At 43.9% G+C, this 18893-nt stretch overlaps 2 annotated features.

Annotated features, from left to right (window-relative positions):
* Window positions 16075–16601: an enhancer, noted in NCBI's record as "H3K4me1 hESC enhancer chr12:114740105-114740631 (GRCh37/hg19 assembly coordinates)". NCBI's record gives its function as "activates a minimal SCP1, AML or CMV promoter by ChIP-STARR-seq in naive H9 embryonic stem cells {active_cell/tissue: H9 hESC(naive)}" and the evidence as "EXISTENCE:reporter gene assay evidence [ECO:0000049][PMID:30033119]".
* Window positions 16602–17128: an enhancer, noted in NCBI's record as "H3K4me1 hESC enhancer chr12:114739578-114740104 (GRCh37/hg19 assembly coordinates)". NCBI's record gives its function as "activates a minimal SCP1, AML or CMV promoter by ChIP-STARR-seq in naive H9 embryonic stem cells {active_cell/tissue: H9 hESC(naive)}" and the evidence as "EXISTENCE:reporter gene assay evidence [ECO:0000049][PMID:30033119]".

Below are 18893 nucleotides of genomic sequence, written 5' to 3'. Positions count from 1 at the left end.
TTCCAGTAAGCACCAGTAAGGGAGTGGGAGTGGAGAAATTTGAAAGGCAAGAAGTTCATACAGCATGTGTTAATGAGTAGGTTACTGTTATGGGTAACTGAGGCTCATTCCTGCTGGGGAACTCTGAGACACAATACAGAACGTGCCTTGGAGTTGTCCTACCTGAGGGATAAAAAGATAGAGTACATATCTTCCAACCCCAGCCTGTCATTGTCTGAGGGCTGTTCCTGGGAGTGTCAGCTCACCAGAACTGCTGGTCTACCTCGGGAGCGAGATTCCGGGAGAAGCCCTCAAAGGGAGAGCTGTGGATGCCTGCACTAGGAGCCATCAGCATGCACAGGAATGGCATGCACTGGGAGCTTATGGGTGAACTCCCAATGGTGTATACTATATCTATACATTCACATTTGTTTCATTTCTGAATGCAATTGCTTATAGGAGACATAGCTCCCAAGATGACAGCCTTGGATTTTGTAATAAATTAGAAACAAGGCTCATATAATATTAATAATAGAAGTATTTACATAAATGCTGTGGGCTTACAGGTGAGCTGCTGGGCTGAAGCATCATAAAACATTTCATTGCATAGAAAATAAACAGTGCTAATGTGGCAGAAGAACTACAGGAAATGTGAAATTAAGGGACATCAAAATCAGACTAGATTTCTACAGCTAGCCTGAAAGTTAAGAGCTTGGGTTCAGGATTCAGATAGTTTGAGCTGCAGGTCTGACACTTTTGCGACCTTCAACAAGCTGCTTAACCCCTTGAGCTTCAGTTTTTGTCTTTTTTTTTTAAACTGTCAAATGGTAAAAGTTCCTATCATAAACAATTATTGTGAGAATTAATTGAGGTAATGCTCAATACCTCAAGACAATAGTTAAACAAAGATTGTATTATTTGTTTATAATTCCTTCTTCTTTTGCCACTCTTGTCATGGTTTACTGTATCAGGAATATACTTCCTTGCCCCACTGACTTCAGTCTTGCTCCTGTGGCTTACTTTGCCTAATAGATGTGAGCAGATGTACTCTATATCCCTTCTGAGTAGAAACTTTAAATGTGCTTATATAGTATTGGTTTGTTTCTTTGTACTCCTGCCCTGAACCATGAGAAGAGTATGCCTTGAGTGGTTGGTGAAGCTTTAACTTGGGTTTCAAAGTGATGGATACATAGATAAGAACTGAATTCAGTCCCACAGCCTGAAGCTGAGGCATAGTAGCTAATCACAGGCCAATGAGTGATTAACTGGTATCTTGCCCAAGATCATCCAGTCAATTAGAATAAAAGTAGAGACCAGAACCTAGGCCTTCTGACTCCCAACTCAGTACTTATTTGAGGCAGAGGCAATAATTATTCTCTTTCTTCTTCAATTAAAGTCTCACATATTTTTGGCGGGGAGTGAGATGATGTCAAGTTAAAAAGAAATTAGAGTTTGCAGCATCATTGCAGTAGGGATGGCAAATGAAATAGATATAAGCAGAAGTCATTGGGTGGAGCTTCCAGAGAGCTTTTGCCCCTTCTTGCTTTCCTTCCTCTTCCTAATGTGATGGCTGGAGCTCTAGCAACCACCTGTGATCATGAGGCAACCTTGAGGATGAAAGCCAGTGCTAAGGATGGCAGAGCAGAAAAACATAGGCAACCTGAGACACTGACTATGTCACTTGCTAGCCTTTGTTTCTTAACTTCAGGGAGCACCATTCGCTGTTTATGCTGTGAACAGAGGTCCCTGGAGTTAGGCAACATGGTGGCCCTGCCTACCTCTGTACTTTTTGTTGTTGTTGTTGTTTTTGAGATGGAGTCTCTCTCTGTCGCCAGGCTGGAGTACAGTGGTGTGATCTCAGCTCACTGCAACCTCTGCCTCCTGTGTTCAAGCGACTCTCCTGCCTCAGCCTCCTGAGTAGCTGGGACTACAGGTGTGCGCCCCCACACCCAGATAATTTTTGTATTTTTAGTAGAGACAGGGTTTCACCATGTTGGCCAGGATGGTCTCGATCTCTTGACCTTGTGATCTGCCCGCCTCGGCCTCCCAAAGTGCTGGGATTACAGGCATAAGCCACTGCGCCCGGCCTATACTTTTCTTTTTTCTATAAGATAAGACAAATCCCTATCTTGCTTGTCCTAGGTCTCTTTGACTAGTAGAGCAATGCAATCCTGACAGACACACTAGACTCACATGCCGGGAATCTTCCATTTGCCCCTTCCCATCCATTCTCCATTTTTCTCCACCCATGTGGCTGCCCTGTAAAGATTCTATCATTTGACTTCTTGTCTCTGGCTCCCAGCTGGATTCAGACAATGGGAGGCACCATAAGTGATGTGAGGGGCAGGGGGCAGTGAAGTTGGCGCCTTTGTTTCCCTGGTTCCTTCACTGCCAGGTTGCCTAGGGCTGGCAGCGTCCTGACTAGAAATCTCAGCTTTTGTCAGGAGACCTCTCTTCTCTCTTTCTCTCTGAATTTCAATGACATTCTCTTTCTTTGCTCCTTCAGGGCTATTGATACCACCAGCTCCTCAGTGTCTCTGATGCGCCTCTCCATCCCTTGCTGATTTCCTTAGTCCTGCCCACACCTTTATAAATAGCATCCTTAAATTCTCGCAGTTACTCCTTTTGACTGGGCCGCCTGTTTCCTGCCAACACATGTCATCGGAATTCCCGCTGATAGTTTTCTGATTCATGCTGGCTGGAACTTCTCTTTCCAGTCTCTATTCTAGTTTCTGTTTGATAGACTTCCTTGAGTGTCTATTCTTCTTTCTCTTATTACCCTAAAAACTTTTCTACTCCTAAACACTGTCCAGATTTATTATTATTGTTGTTGTAAAAACCACCATGCAGTGAATATTTACTATATACCAAGCACCAGATAGGGCATTTTATGTACATTTTCTTGTTTAGTCCCCACAAGAAGACAGTGAGGAGGGTCTTACGCCTATTCTACAGATGAAGAAAGGAAGTTCCCCAGACCAAGTGACTTACCCAAGGTCACAGAGCTAAGAGAGTGGTAGGGCTGGGATCAGAACCCAGGGTTCTCCAGTTCCAATGCGGTGTTACTAGGCATGATGCTGTCTTGTCTCTGATTTGAATATAAATATAACCATGACCCTAGTTGTCATGTTAGCTCAGAATACATTAGGACATTCCCAGAGGAGGGAATCAGGTGGTGAATTGGAGACCAATAGCAGAGGTGGTTGGCATCTCTTTTGCCGTAAATTGTGCATACTACCCACCAACGCATGCATATTCAAATATGCACACACACACATACACTCTCACTCAAACGTACACACACATGAACACGTTCACATACACCTACGCATTCTTCTCACGTGCACTTTCATACACACACTCACACATACTTACACACTCAAACATGTTCACATTCTCACACTCTCACATGCACACGCTCAAGCCTACTCACGCGTGCACATTCTTACACACACACTCAAACATGTCCACACATACATGCACACGTCTTCACACACACATACACACTCACACGTGCACACAGGTTCACATACATACGCAGAATTCTCTCCCACACTCACACACACTTTCACATATAAACACTCATACAGTCAAACATACACATGTACACTCCCACATACATATACACTGAAACATGTATACATACACTTCCTCACACACTCTCACGTACACACATGCACACACAATATCTCACATTCTCACATACACACACTCAAACATGCTCACACACACACTTGCATGCACACACACACTCGCATGCACACACACACACATGTGCACAAACTCACATGCACACACTCACTCACATGCACACACACACTCGCATGCACACACACGGGCCCCTTTCCATGTCTGAGAGGCCTCCATGCCTCCCAGCCCTCCTTGGCAGAGGATGCCTGATTCTGCAGCAGGTGAGGACATTTCTGCTCAAGGCTCTTTTTGACTTACAACGTAAAAACAACCCCTCTAGCTCTAGGCACCCTGGATCTGCCAGTTTCCTCAAACTTCACACCCTAACTGGTTCCAAAGAAAACTTCACCCAGACCCAGGGAGCCAGAACACCTGCTTTGTCAACTGCAGAGCGATGGAGACATCACCTGTGTGTTCCACTGGAACTGCGTCTGAGGCTTTGGCTGGCACCTGTGTCCCTCCACGCCTGGGTCCCAGGTAAGCAGGGTTGAGGTGTGACAGGTTCTTTCTCTTCTCTCAAGCCAGCTGGGTGTCAGCGTAATGAACCAGTGAACATCAGCTCTCCCATATGGGGCTAAGGAAGGATGAAGAATCCAGCGGGAAAGACCGAGAGCACATGGCTTCAGAACTGAGCCTTGGAACCAGATACACCTCGAGCCAACTCTGGCACTAATGTTGGCATGTTCCGTTCCTGGGATGCCTTTACTCTGTTCAAGTTTCAATTTCCTGACCAGTAAGTGGGGACACTAGTAGCAGCTTCTGGTGGTTTCTGTGAGGGTTAATGGAGATAATGCACATGAAATGCTGATGCTAGTATCTGCCACGTAGTAAGTTCCTAGGGGGAAAAGGGGGAGTTTATTTCGAAAAGAAAACAGACAAGGAGGAGAACCCAGAGTCCTGATCACAGACTGCAGGTTGCTTTAATCTCTCCCAGGGCTTGAGATACCAACAAGAAAGTCTGCCAATTTGAACACACAGCTGCTTTTTGAATTTTGTGAATTTGCCTCTGCAAAGCTGCTGGAGGTATATAAAGTATAGGCCACGCTGGCTGTTTAATTTGACCAATACAGGTAAACAGGAAAATGTTCAGACACCACAGTTCAGGACCTCTTGTTACCCCTTCTTAGTAGTGGCTGACTTGGGGACTGCAGCATTTTGCCTCTTTTTGTATTTTCTCTGAATCAAATTTGAGCCTGACACTCTAGTGGTGGTTAGATGAAGGAACTTAGGTATGTTATTTCCCTGATCTGTGCCTCAGTTTCTTCATCTGTAAAGTGGGTGTAATACTATTTACGTCACAAGGTAAAGAGGTAAAACCCCTCACACAGTGTTAGGTACATGATAGGTGCTCAATTATAAGTTCCTATTCACAAAAAACTTAGCTCTCAGTTGTAGAAAAAGCTAATAAGCAACAAGGAGAAGATGTTTCTATGTTATATATATTTCCTCCAAGTGTCTGAGGAAGTACCTTCTTTGTGAACATTACTCACAAGATAAAGAGGTAAAACCTCTCACACAGGATTAGGTACATAATAGGTGCTCAATGATACGTTCCTATTCATATAAAAGTAGCTCTCCGTTGTAGAAAAAGCTAATAAGCAACTTGGAGAAGAGGTTTCTATGTTGATAGGTTTCTTCCAAGTGTCTGAGGAAGTACATTCTTTGTGAACTTGGTCAGAGGCCTACAAATTTTAAATATTTTTCACTTTCACCAGTATAAAAAATGGAGAGCTGGGTGCAGAGGTACCTGCACCTATAGTCCCAGCTACTTGAGAAGCTGAGGCAGGAGGATCTCTTGAGTCCAGGAGCCTGAGACCAGCCTGGGTGATATAGCAAGACCCCCATCTCAAAAATAAAACAAAATTTAGGATGGATTGTATATATGCACACATACCTATATATGTTCATGTACGTTAGGTTTATACACATATATGCAGGAACAGAAAACCAAATACTACATGTTCTCACTTGTAAGTGGGAGCTGAACAATGAGAACACATGGACACAGGGAGGGGAACAGCACTCCCTGGGCCTCGTCAGGAGGGCCGGGTTGGGGAGAGCATCGAGAAAAATAGCTAATGCATGCGGCTTAATACCTAGGTGATGAGTTGATAGGTGCAGCAAACCACCATGGCACACGTTTGCCTATGTAACAGACCTGCACATCCTGCACATGTATCCCAGAACTTAAAATAAAAATAAAGTTTTAAAACCCCATTATAACTATATGCAAAAATTAGAAGTGAAAGGGATGAGCTACAAAATAAATAGAAGTTCTGGTATTTTCCCTCAAACCCCAAAGGATTATTTTAGGTACCCTGCTTTGTACACCACTGTCCAGGTCCTGGCTATTCAAAGTGTGGTCCTGAACCAGGAGCATTAGCATCACCTGGGAACTGGTTAGAGATGCTGAATCCCAGGCCCCACCCTGGACCAACCAAATTAGAATCCCCTGGTGACTGGGTGCAGCATTAAAATCTGGTAACCACTGGTTTTGGGAACATAACTGGGGGTAACCCCTCAATTTTAAGTTTCTTTATCTGTCTTATTACTTCTCCTTATTACTTGAAGTTGGATGAGTTCTTAGCTTTAACTAGCATATAGGAAATTAGCTGGACCCCTTCAGCATTGCACCAAGTTCTGTCAAACCGGGCTTGAAAGAGACTGCCCATGCCAAGCTTGATGAATGTTTTTCATTTGGCCTATATTTAGCGGTGCCAGCCAATTTGGAGACATCCCCAAAGAAGGGGCTTCTGATCTCCATAGTTTGAAACATGATTGCCAAGCAATACCATAAATCTGCTTCAGAAAGGCCTGGCAATTTTATTTTTATTTTTTTTGGTGGTGATGGGGGGAGGTTAAAAAAAGCTAGCAAAAGTAATCCCTGGCTGTTCCTTGAAGTGGACTCAGATGGAAATAAAATCTTTCCACAAAGTGAGCTTTGGCCCCACTGCCTTATTTCTGGTCCAAAAATGACTTTCAGAGAGCATGTTAACAAGGGCTCTGGCTGGAACTCGGAAAGGCAGGCCTGCAGCGAAGAGGTGGAGGAGGCTGTGTCACCAGGGAAGCACGCTAATGGGCTGGGCTGCACAAACATTATTTTTTAATTCTGAGGGTAGAAGCAACTGGTAGAGAATTCATCAAACTCTATAGACAGGAAGAGGGCTTGATTTCTGCTGTCCTGGCCCTGCCCAGAGCTCAGGACGGAGGTGAGTCACCTCCAGTTATTTGGGACCCAGCAAAAGACAGGACTCTGCTTACCAGCAGGCCTGGTGGACTTTATGGATTCAGGAGTGGGGTGGCCAGGCCACTGGTCCAGACTGAAGTCTGTAAAGGGGCTACCTAGAGACCTGCTGGTGGATGGTAGGATTGCACCAGGCAATACAATGATGCAATGTGCTTTTCTTCTTCTCCACCCTAGTTTTCCCCCATTGGGCCGCCATGTTGAAAGCCAACAAGAGTGTAAGGGAGACAAATTATGGAGAAGGACTCTTCTTGTCCCTTTTGTGCCTGTTTTTCTCCAATCTACTTCCTGCTCTTCCTCAGCTCGCTCCTTTCCAGTGGATGGCTGACTGCTACAAATTACAGCTCCCAATGTCCCTTGCTTCTGGTTGAGTTCAGCCAATGGAAGTCTGCCATGGAGGATTGGCAGATCGGAGGATAGGATGGTGGGAGATGTTAAGGTCATTCTCCCATACTTCACACACTGTCTTTTGGTGTGGTGGAGACTCCAGCAGTGGCTGTATTTCCCACGTGGTTCCAGCTTCCTCTGTGTTCCTCCATGGCCCCAGCTCCCACTGGGTAATGCCTATTTCTGAGCTCTAGTAATACCACCTCTTCCCTCACTCCCTCCTGTCCCAGGGTTGTAGCAGATTTCTGCTCTTGCAAGTTTCATGAGGTGTTTCCCATGTCCTGTTTGTCTTTTCAGCTCTTTCCACACCTTTGTAACTAGTGAAGTACATTAAATCCTTTCTTTTGAGCCACCTAGGTTGGGTGCCTCTATCTTCCAGGCTAGACACTAACCAATAAACATTTAGACTTTACAGCAACAATTTGAATCACATCAAATGAGTAGGCAGCCATAAAGCATTCTATCACTTGGCAGTTCATGCTAACTTAAACAGTTTGTTTCAAGGACACAAGTTATGCCAGTGATTTGAAAGAAAAGCTGAACAGCAAAACAAACGGTAAGCTTCTGGAGGCTTCCAATATCTAGGTAGCAAGAGCTACTATCCTTAAAATGTAATATTTGAGATTATTAATCAGCTCTCATTGCTTTCCATGAGTGTTTCAGGATACTCATTATTCTTTTCTTATAAGAGAGAAGGTCTCATTTGCTTATTTTGGGTCACATAACAACTAATTGACCACACACCACAAGGTGTCTTGACTGACAGGGCCACCAAAACTGCAAACAATTGGGAGAGGAACTTGTATTAGAGAACAGTGTAAATTGCTATAAGAAAGGGTCTCACAATATGTAACTTAAACAAGATGGCAGTTCGTTTCTATTGTCCTGGAGCTGTTTGGGGTAGGTGCATTGCTCTTCTTAACTTGTAACTTCTATGTCTAGGTCCAAGGATGCCTGCTCCTCCAGGCATCATTGCACACCAGCCAGCAGGAAGGAAGACAATGAAAGGGGAGGGCCCTCTTCTTTCAAAAACAGCATCTGGAAGTTGTGCTCACATCCCATTGGCCAATATCTAGCCAACACGAGCATTCCTGGTTGCATGGGAAGCTGCAAAGCACATTAGCTAGGTGGCCATGAGCTCTGAACAAGCTCTCTTACCATGGAAGAAGATAACAACAGATACTGGAGGAAAATCATCAGTTTAACTACAAATGTTATTCAAAGGAAAATTGAGATGCTACTATCAGAAGATGTAGGCATTCAAATCAACACAGACCACTAAAAAAACATTTATGTTTGAGGCACTCTGGATTTGCAGTTTTACATAGGGCACTTTCTTGAATTAATTAAGAGAACTGTTATGGACTGAATGTTTGTGTCCCTCACAAATTCATGTGTTGAAATCCCAATCCTCAATGTGATAGTCTTAGAAGGTGGGGCCTTTGGGAGGTGATTAGGTCACGAAGAGGGACCTCTCATGAATGGGATTGACAGCTTTATTAAAAGAGACAACACAGGGCTTGACCCTCTCCATCTGCTCTCTACCATGTGAGGATACAATAAGAAGATGGCTATCTGTGAACCAGGACGAGGGCTCTACCAAGAACCTGACCTGGCTGGCACCCTCATCTCAGGCTTTGAGCCTCCAGAATTGTGAGAAATAAATATCTGTCGTTTAAGCCACCTAATCTATGGTATTTTGTAGCAGTCTGAACAAAGGCAGAAGCTAACTCAGAAGCACCTCCCTATTTAAAACCCCAAGGAGCTCCACTGCACTCAGGACAATATCCAAACTCCTCCAATAGCCTACAAGCACCCTCATGACACAGGCTCTGCCTACTATACAGCTTTATGATAGAATCATACTCAATTTCCTGGTGGGATCTGACTCCAACTCCTCCTTCAAAACCCTGTGAGTATCCCTTCCTCTAGGAACTCTCTAGAAAAGGTAGAATTAACCCTCAGGGCTCCAGAGTGCATCATATGTATATAATCTTCTATTATACTTGAATCATTGGCAGGCACTTAATTGTTTCCATATCTGCTTTTCTCTCCCTAGCCCCAAGCTTTCCAGTTCCTCAAGGGTTGGAGCAGTGTTTTATTCATCTCTGAATACCCAGCACTAATACAGAGGTGCTCAGTAATAATTCTTTGAAAGAACTCATTAAACTCATTATATATATTGGGCACCCACTAAGTGTCAAGCCAAGCCCTGTTTTTGTTACCAGTGATAGGGTGGTGATCAAAACAGACATGGTCCTAACTGTAAGCAAGCATGGATATTCTAATAGTGGGATAGACTCTAAGGAAATAAGTAGGTCTATATGAAATCGGTAGTCATAGGGGCTAGAGAGAAAAGAAGAACAAGGTAAAAAAATAAAGTGTGACAAGTGTGATCAAGGCCAAGGATAATCTCTCTAAGATGTTGAATTTTGAGCAAAGACCTAAATGAATTAAGTGAATGAGCCAGGCAGATGTCTGAGGCAGAGAAAAGCATGATGCTACCAGGTAGGTAAGGTTAGGATGAAGATCATAGGCAGAGGTGTGAAATATTCCTGCCCAGTTAAGGAAGTGCATGTGGCTGAATAGGATTCTATCATAAAAGCAAGTGCAAAGGTCCTGAGGTAGTACATACTTTGTATGCTGGAGAAATAGCAGAGGATTCCTGGAGTGGGATGAAGAAATGTGAGAATGGTAGGAGGTGAAGTTAAGAGATCAGCATGAAGCAGTTCCTGTAGAGGCTTGTAGATTGTGGTAAGGACCCTGGATTTTATTTTGAGTGAGCTGGGAGCCATTGGAGGGTTTGGGTAGAAGGGGGATGGAATCAGATATGTTTTACGTCAGACCACTGACTGCTTGCTAGATCCGATCTAGCAAGGCAAGATCGTTATTCTTTCATATGGTCTATACTTTACATATTGGCCAGAGAATGAGTGGATGTTATAAGGTAAAAGAATGAATGAATATTGAAAGTTAAACAAAAAGAGATTTAAGAGCTCAAGACAAAACTGAAAGGGTTGCTACAGGCCCATGAAAGATTTGTTGCCCATTGTAGGGAATAAACAGGATTTACTCTGGGAAATCTGAGGTGGGAGCAAACACTTCATCCTGGGAAGAACAGGAAAGGAATGATGAAGGAGATGGGCTTTGAGAAGGGCTTGAAGGATGAGGTGGGCAAACTCCAGTCTGTGCCATTACAGGAATTCATAAGCCAAGGGAAAGCATAGGCCAGATGCATCTACCAGTTATTTTCAGACTAACCAAGATTATTAATCCATCTAGGCTGTCACAGATGGGGAAGTGATAGATGGCTCTTGTTCTGTTAGCACTGGCTGAGTCTGTGTCTTCCTCTAAGGCTCTGAATTCCAGCCCCTTTGGCTGGCAGAGTCTGGTTTCTAGATGAAAGGTAAGTGGGTAGGGTAGAGCAAAATACCCAAACCCCCTCCCCAAGGAGAGTACAGATAAGTGAGAGAATGAGATGTTTGACAAATAAAAATGACACATCTCATTACAAATATTGGTGAATGATAGGACGGAAAGCATTCAGGTGGATGAGGGGTAGGGTGGAGGGATGTGCTCCTTGGGGAAGTGACATTTGGGTTGAGAGTGGAAAGAGTCTCAGGTTTTTGTGCAAAATTGGAGGGAAGAACCTTGGTGGCAGAGGGAGAAATGGCTGCTAAAATCCAAGCCAAGAAAGAGCTTCCTGGATTCAAGGAAATGCAAGAAGGCAAGTATGTCATGGGCAGTGAGAGGAGTGGTGTGAGATGAAGATTCTCCAGCTGTTCTTTATTCTTCCATGTAAGTGGCAGAAAAGTAGAGAAGAACACAGGCAGGAGCATGGAACTTTTGGATTATTTTATTGCAAGTAATTATTTATTGTGTCTAGAATAATGCAGAGGTGGGCAGCTGACTATCAGTGATAAGTCACTCTACTGATTTCAGGATTCTCATCAAGAAGTAATATCTTCCCAGCCTGACCAGCAGTAGAAACAAACTAAATTTTTGTCTTGCCAAACACCGAGTTTTGCCTTCCTGGTTCAATGGTTTGATTTGTCTATCTGCAAAGTGTTTTGCCCCTAAGGCTTTGGTAGTCTAGACTGTTTGCCTAATTGTCCCTGCCCTGGGATGTCAGATAGCAGAGTCTTTTTCAGAAGAAAAGGAGCTGCACTATGGACTATTCCAAGTTGCCAAAAAACCAATCCCAACTACTCACTGAAAAGCACCTGCTGTCAAGCAGACCACAGGCACTGGTAAGCTCGGGAACATGCCTTAAAGTAGTTTAAAAAACAATTTGTTTGGGGGACATGGGGGATATTCCAGCTGAGTCCTTTTTTATTTCAAAATCATTTCACGTTGCAGAGGATTTTAATTCATGTGACTCTGATTTATTCGCACCCAACTCATCAAAGCTGATTTGTTTGGTTTCAAAGTCCACACAACACTGTTTGATAATCAAGAGACTTCATGATCCTTGCAGTCACCCCTGCCCCAGCCGGTGGCATCCTGTCCGTTCTGAACGGGATCCAAAGTGAGTTTGGAACCCAGCAGCTGGGGGCCTCATCAGTGGTTGGCAGTTGTGTTCTTTAGTTTTAATTTTGTTTCCAATTTGAGAAAAGGATAGGTTCCTGGATAGTATTTTAAAGAGGTTCCTCTCAATCTTTCCATTCCCAGTGACAATGATGATCACTCATTCCACAGGCATTTATCAAGTGCTATGTTGCAGACACTGAGCTAGAACTGGGGAAATCAGAAGTAATATACAGCATAGATATGACTCACACTTTGTCCTAAGTGGAATTCCTAAGTAGAATCTGCAGTCTATTAGGGGAGACAGACTATAAACCATAATGACACGTAGAGTAATTTAATTGCAAATATGATTTTTCAACAACTCAACTAATGTTTACTGAGCATCTATTACAGGCTAGACAACATTCTAGGGACAAGGGATACAGCTGTGAACCAAACAGACATCACCAAAATGGGGATACTAATAGTACTGAAGTTGAAATGAGACAATGAGAATAAAGCCCTGAGTTCAGGGACTATTAGGAGTTTTCTTACTCTGCTGTTAAAGCTTCAATGGCTCCCCAGTGCTCTGAGGGTAATAATGTTTCATCTCTTTGGGTTACAAACAGCTGGGCTTTTCTTCTTTGCTGAATCAATCTACTCCTGATTTTACCGCTTACCAGCTGTGCAACCATGGGTAAGTTATATGTGCTTCTCTGAGCCTCAGTTTCCTTTTCTATAGAATGGGGATAATGACGTCAATCACATAGCACTGTTGTGGATTAAAAGAACTGTGTCTGGCACAAGAGTAAGCGCTCCACAAATTTTAACTATTATTATTATTATTGTTTTAAAAATTATTGCTATTTGTAGCAGAGTCTTGATTATTTGGTTCCTCCAAATAATCCATAGTAATGGAATCTTTAGCTTATGCATAGCTACCCAGCATAAAAAAATACATTTCTCAGACTCCCTTGCAGCTAAATGTGGCCATGGGACTAAATCCTAGCTAATGGAGTAAGAGCAGAAGTGATTTGTATAATTTTTGATTTGCTCCCTTAAAGGGGAGGGATGTGCCCTACCCTTCTCCTTTTCTTCCCTCCCTCATGCTGGAACTCAGACATAATGGCAGGATCCCGAGCAGCTGTCTTGGATCATGAGGTGGTAGCTGTGTGGTGGAGATGGAAGAGCAAAAACTGGAGAAACCTTTTGGTGATTGTAGAGTCACTATATTGACCCTGGGCTACTTAATGGGATTTATATGTGTGGGAGAAATGAACTTCTGTTTTGTCTGAACCACTGTCAGTTTCACTGTCTGTAAGAGTAGTCAAACTTTATTCTAACCAATATATTGTTACCTCCTGTATACACCTCCAGGGCAGCCTTGGATGATCTATTAGCCTTGATGATCTATTAACTGTGCCTGGATGATACTTTGCATTTTGCTGACTCAGCCTCAGTATTTACTGTCATCCTCACCTGGATCACTTGCTCTCTTTTCTCTCCTTGCTCCCCTCTCTCCCCCTAACCATCTTTCAGCACTCATGTCAATACCTCTTTCTACCTGAGCCTTCCCAGAGCCCTCCACATTCAATGAGTTGACTTTCCACTAATTCCAAGCTTCTGGAATCTGTACTTATAGGTTGGTTCAGTTCAAGACGCATTAATTGGGCATCTACTCTAGTAAGTAGGGTTTTGGTTAGAGATAAAAAGTAAAGAGGTTCTTCTTTCAAGGAGTTTAAGGTTATGGGTTGCCTGTGAAGTCTCTTGAATGATAATCTTCATTCATTCAACAAGCATTAATTTGGCACCTACTGGGTGCCTGGCAGTGTTCCAGGTTCTTTGGATCCTAAGGAGAAGAATGTATGTCCTCTGTTTCCAAGGAGCTCTCAAACCCTTCATCTATCATTTCATTAAACAAATATATTTCTGGTCCTACTATGTGCCAGGCAGTAGGCTAGGCGCTGGGGATTCAACAGTGAACAGAACAGAGAGGATCCCTGCCCTCCTGGAGTTCATGCTCTGGTTGGGGTAGGGACAGACCATAAGCACATAAATAAATAAAAGTGTGAGGTAACTGCATGTGATGTGATAGAGGAATATGATACAATGTGAAGTGGAGATGCATGTCTACAAATGACAGTCAGGGGAGGCATCTCCAGGGAGCTGATGTTTCAGCTAAGACATTGATGATAAGAAGAATTATTCATGGGACTATGTGGGCAGATGCATGTCTCAGGCAGAGGAAACAACAAGTGCAAAGTCCCTGAGGTGGGGAAGAACTTGGTGTGTTTTGAGTAATGGCAAGAAAGACAGTGGCTTGGGGCAAAGAGATCAGGGCTTGGAGGTAAGAGATGGTATTGGAGAGGTCAGCAGGAGCCTTAGGAAAAAAAAAATCTAAACTCCTTATGCTGGTTACAAGATCTCCTCGTAATGGAGGAGTGAAATTATGTGATTTGTACATTAAACATCATGCTGGGTTTTAGGGGGACCTGAGGAGGATCAGGGAAACCACTTAGGAACCCATTGTAATCACCCAGGCAGGAGACAGGGTAGTTTCGATAATAGACACGCAGAGAAGTGGATGCATAATGGATATATTTTGGAGGAAGAACTGACACCACTGTGAAGATGCATGGAGTTGGGTCCCCATCTGGACTATGAGCTGCTTGAAGATATAAATATAATACAATATTTTATATATATATATATATATATATATATACGCACACACACAAAGATATAAATATAATACAAATAAATATAATACAATACGCTACCCAAGATGAGAAAGCTTCACACAGACCTCCCTTCTAACTGAATCGCCATTGACCTTGTCACATACCCAACTCTTCTTTTCTACATAAAGTTACTTGACAGCTGACTCTTCTTTGCATCCTTGAATGCTCGTGGCCTGAGGCATTGCACCCAGTAGTTGCTCCACAAATATTTGCTGGCTGCCTTTAGACATAAATCAATCCACATTTATTATTATTATTAATATTATTATTATTATATTAGACAGAGTCTTGCTCTGTCACCCAGGCTGGAGTGTAGAGGCACGATCTCAGCTCTCTGCAACCTCCACTCTCTGGGTTCAAGCGATTCTTCTGCCTCAGCCTCCCAAGTAGCTGGGATTACAGCGCACATCACCATGCTTGGCTAATTTTTGTATCTTTAGCAGAGATGGGGTTTCACCATGTTGGCCAGGCTGGTTTCGAATTCCTGAACTCAAGCAATCCACCTGCCTCGGCCTCCCAAAATGCTGGGATTACGGGTGTGACCCATCATGCCTGGCCATCCACGTTTATTATTAATAACAATGTAAAGATTGTTACTATTTACTGAGGGCTAATGTGATGTGCCAGGTACTATGCTGAGCGTTTTGCCTTTAGAGTCGCGAATAACCCCTACCAAATCCCTTTAAGGTAGATTTTTTTTGTTAGCCCCATTCTATAGCTGAGCAAATTGAGGCTTAAGAAGGTGGGACAACTTGCCCCTGAACATGCCACTTGTAAATGGTGACATCAGGATTCAAACCTTGTTCTGCCTGACTCTGGAACCCAGGCTCTTAGCTGAAAAATTTATTCAGTCCTCCTTTATGGATAACCAAGCCTCAATCTTATATTTCTTTTTTCTTTTTCTTTTTTCTTTCTTTCTTTTTTTTTTTTTTTTTTTTTTTGAGACAGGGTCTAGCTCTGTCACCCAGGCTGCAGTGCATTGGCACGATCATGGCTCACTGAAACCTCTACTTCCTGGGCTCAGGTGATTCTCCTGCCTCAGCCTCCTGAGTACCTGGGACTACAGGTGCACTCCACTACACCTGGCTAATTTTTAAATTTTCTGCAGAGACAGAGTTTCACTATGTTGCTTAAGCTAGTCTCAAACTCCTGGGCTCAAGCGATCCACCCACCGCAGTCTCCCAAAGTGCTAGGATTATGGACATGAGTCACCATGCCCAGCCTACCTTGCATTTCTTAAAGAAGAAAATGAGAATAAACGGGTGTGCTGCAGAGCTCCTGGGCCTGCATCCACATCGGCTTTCTCATTTACTAGCTGCATACCCTTGGGAAAGTTGCTGGCTCACTGCTTCCTCCCATCTCACAGTATCTGTAAAATTTGGTAGGTTAGGATGGAAAGACTGTCCTAGGTCACAGTGCACTATCATTTATGTCTCTCTACAGTCTTACAGTGAATGGAAAAGAACTCCAGCTGTGGCTTAGATAGCTCAGCTTTGTCACTTACTGGCTGTGTGACCTTGGGCGAGTTACTTAACCTCTCTGAGCTTCATCTGTAAAATGGGGATGATGATACCAACATCTATCTCCGTGGTTGCTGGAAGAATTAAATGTGCCTATAGCAAGCACCCAAAATGTGCTGGTTGCTGTCATTTCTATCCTAGAGGTGCAAGTTCAAGATTAATAAAATGGAGAAGGAGCTACCTCAAGGACCTGTTTCTAAAGTCATGGAGTGGTGTAACTGGATTCCTCCCAAGTGCTGAACCCCCCACTTCTGTGATCTGAGGATTCCGCATCCAGGGATTCCACATTGGGATTCCAAGGCCCAGCAGCACCTTGGAATGAGAAGGGTTAAGTATCCATCCAGCTCACAGATGCAGAAAATCTTCACAAAGATGCAGGGGAAATATTTCCATTTCTGATAAGGAGTAAAAATGGAGCAACTCATTCCATATGGGCTGGCGAGAGGGGCAGGAAGGAGCTGGTGGAGTCCGCAACGTGCAGGGCAGGGCAGCTCGAGGCTGATGGATGACCGGCTGGCCTGGGAGGGGCTGACCGGTCTCCACCCTGGAGGCACCAGGAGGGAACGGAGAGAGAAAGAGAGAGAGGAGAGAGAGGAGAGAGGAGAGAGAAGATCTGAGTCTGAGACAAGGAGGAGGGGCTTTCAGGAGTTCACTCAATTTTTCTTGTGGGTGGCAGCAAGAATTTGTGTCAACATCTGTCGTTTTGAACTAAATAGCAGCTTTAACCAGAAAGGGATGTGGGACTGTGGAAAGGGCACCAACATTCATTGTTTTTCAGCTTTGAGTCAATCTGGGCAAGATCTGAATGGATTTTGGAGAAAATGACAGAGTACATCTTGGTGGGCTGTTAGACAAGACCAAAGAATGTATTTTCCTTAAAATAGGTGCCTGAAAAATAAATTAAATATTACTTGAGTTGAATTAGATTACCTGGGCATTTGGCTGGATTTGTACCACCGATGTGGGTTACCTTCTTTCCTGTTCTGTTCCCATCCTCCGGGTTATTACTTAGGCTGTGCTCTCTGCCTAGAAGTACTGTTTTTCATTTTTTTTTTTAACCTGGGAATTTAACACTTATGAATGCTGTTTCTTGTCCAGGCATTTTCTAAGTGCTTTCTAGAACATTAACTTCTGTAATCCTTCCAGTAAAGTGGTAGGGTTAGTGCTATTTCTGCAATCCTTCCAATAAAGCTATAGGGTTAGTACTATTTCTCTTATTCTTCCAATGTAGCTATAGGATTAGTACTGTTTCTGCAATCTTTCCAATAAAGCTGTAGGATTAGTACTCTCATCATCCTAGTTCTATTAAAGAGGAAGCTGAAGCACAAATAGATGATACAACCTGTTCTCACCTCTCCGGTGGTGGGTGGCAGAGTGTGGGTTAAACCCACATCCCAGGGCGGCCTGGCTTCAACTTTCACACACTTACCCCTACTCTACACCCTCCTCTGACTCTCCCTGCACCTTCAGGTCTCTCTGTCGATTTTCCTGGTCATGGACGCTCTCTCAGACAGCCCTAAGAGCCGGGTTATTGAGTCCTCTGCTCACCTCTTCAGCCCATTTCATTGCCCTCCTTAGGGTGTGAAAGAGTCACAGCCCTGCCCCATTCCAGATCTCCTTTCAAGAAAGAACCCTCTGCCCAGCTGTGAGCACTGCAGGAGCCCACAGATCTAGCTGCAGAGCCTTCCAGAGTCACCTTGGCTTCTGGCTAAAGCCAGGTTCTTTCCTGGCTGATGACTGCACTTGACCGAGGTATGGGCCTGGGTAGTTTTTCCTGGTGATCTCTGCTCCAAAGCTCCCTGCTGTGTGGACCGAGGTGCTGCTCTTCATCTCCGTGGCAGTTGGAGGCTCTCCCTGCTCATCCCATGTCCCCGCTTTCCTTTTCACTAGCCTCCTGAGGATGGGGGCCCGTCTAGATTCCTGTGGTTTTCCCAGTCCCTAACTCTGTACCCAGTAGATGCTCACTCGATATTTGTAGTGAGGTAATAATTTGAAAACATTAAGCAATTTTTCTTGGGATATTTTAATATTTACTGGGTTTTGTTTGCTTTTTTGAGATAGGGTCTCACTTTGTCACCTAGGCTGGAGTGCTGCGTTGTGATCATAGCTCACAGCAGCCTGCAACTCCTGGGCTCAAGGGATCCTCCCATATTATGGACTTCCTTTAGTTAAACACTCACTGCTAAGCACTTTTTAATTTTTTTTTAGATAGGGTCTTGCTCTGTTGCCCAGGCTGGAGCAGTGATGCAATCATAGCTCACTGCAGCCCTGAACATCTGGCCTCTAGCGATCTGCCTGCCACAGCCTCTAGACTAGCTGGGACTACAGGTGTGTGCCACCAATCCTGGCCTCCAGAATAGCTTGTGCCACAGCCTGGCTACTGTTATTCTTTGCATTGTACCAGTCACCCCCCACCCCCCAGCCCATTTTGTCACTCTCTACCTCCATTCCAAATATGTGTTTGTTTCTTTTGTACTCCTTGTTTCAGGGAAAAGTTGAGACATCAGAAAACAAAGGAAAATAGAATCTCCCTCCAGCTTTTGAAATTCAAAATTCTATGCCCTTTAATGAGGATCTCAGGTCACAGAAAATACATTTGGTATTTATAATGAATAAGGGTGGGTATCAGTCCCTGAGCCAGAAAAAGGATATCTAGGCTGGAAGGGAGGGGGAAAGATAGATAGAATTTGAGAGGGAAAATAGATAAAGGAACCAGGGGAAAGGATCTGACCTAAACAGGTGGACAGACACAAGAGGCTGGATCAACCTCCACCTGAAGGTGAATTTTTCAGGAACTAGGTGGGATCTGAGCAGCATTAGATT

This window comes from Homo sapiens, chromosome 12, assembly GCF_000001405.40.
Source record: "Homo sapiens chromosome 12, GRCh38.p14 Primary Assembly".
Classification (NCBI taxonomy): Eukaryota; Metazoa; Chordata; class Mammalia; order Primates; family Hominidae; genus Homo; species Homo sapiens.
Note: the sequence above shows the minus strand (reverse complement) of the source record. Positions and strands in the feature narration are given on the sequence as shown.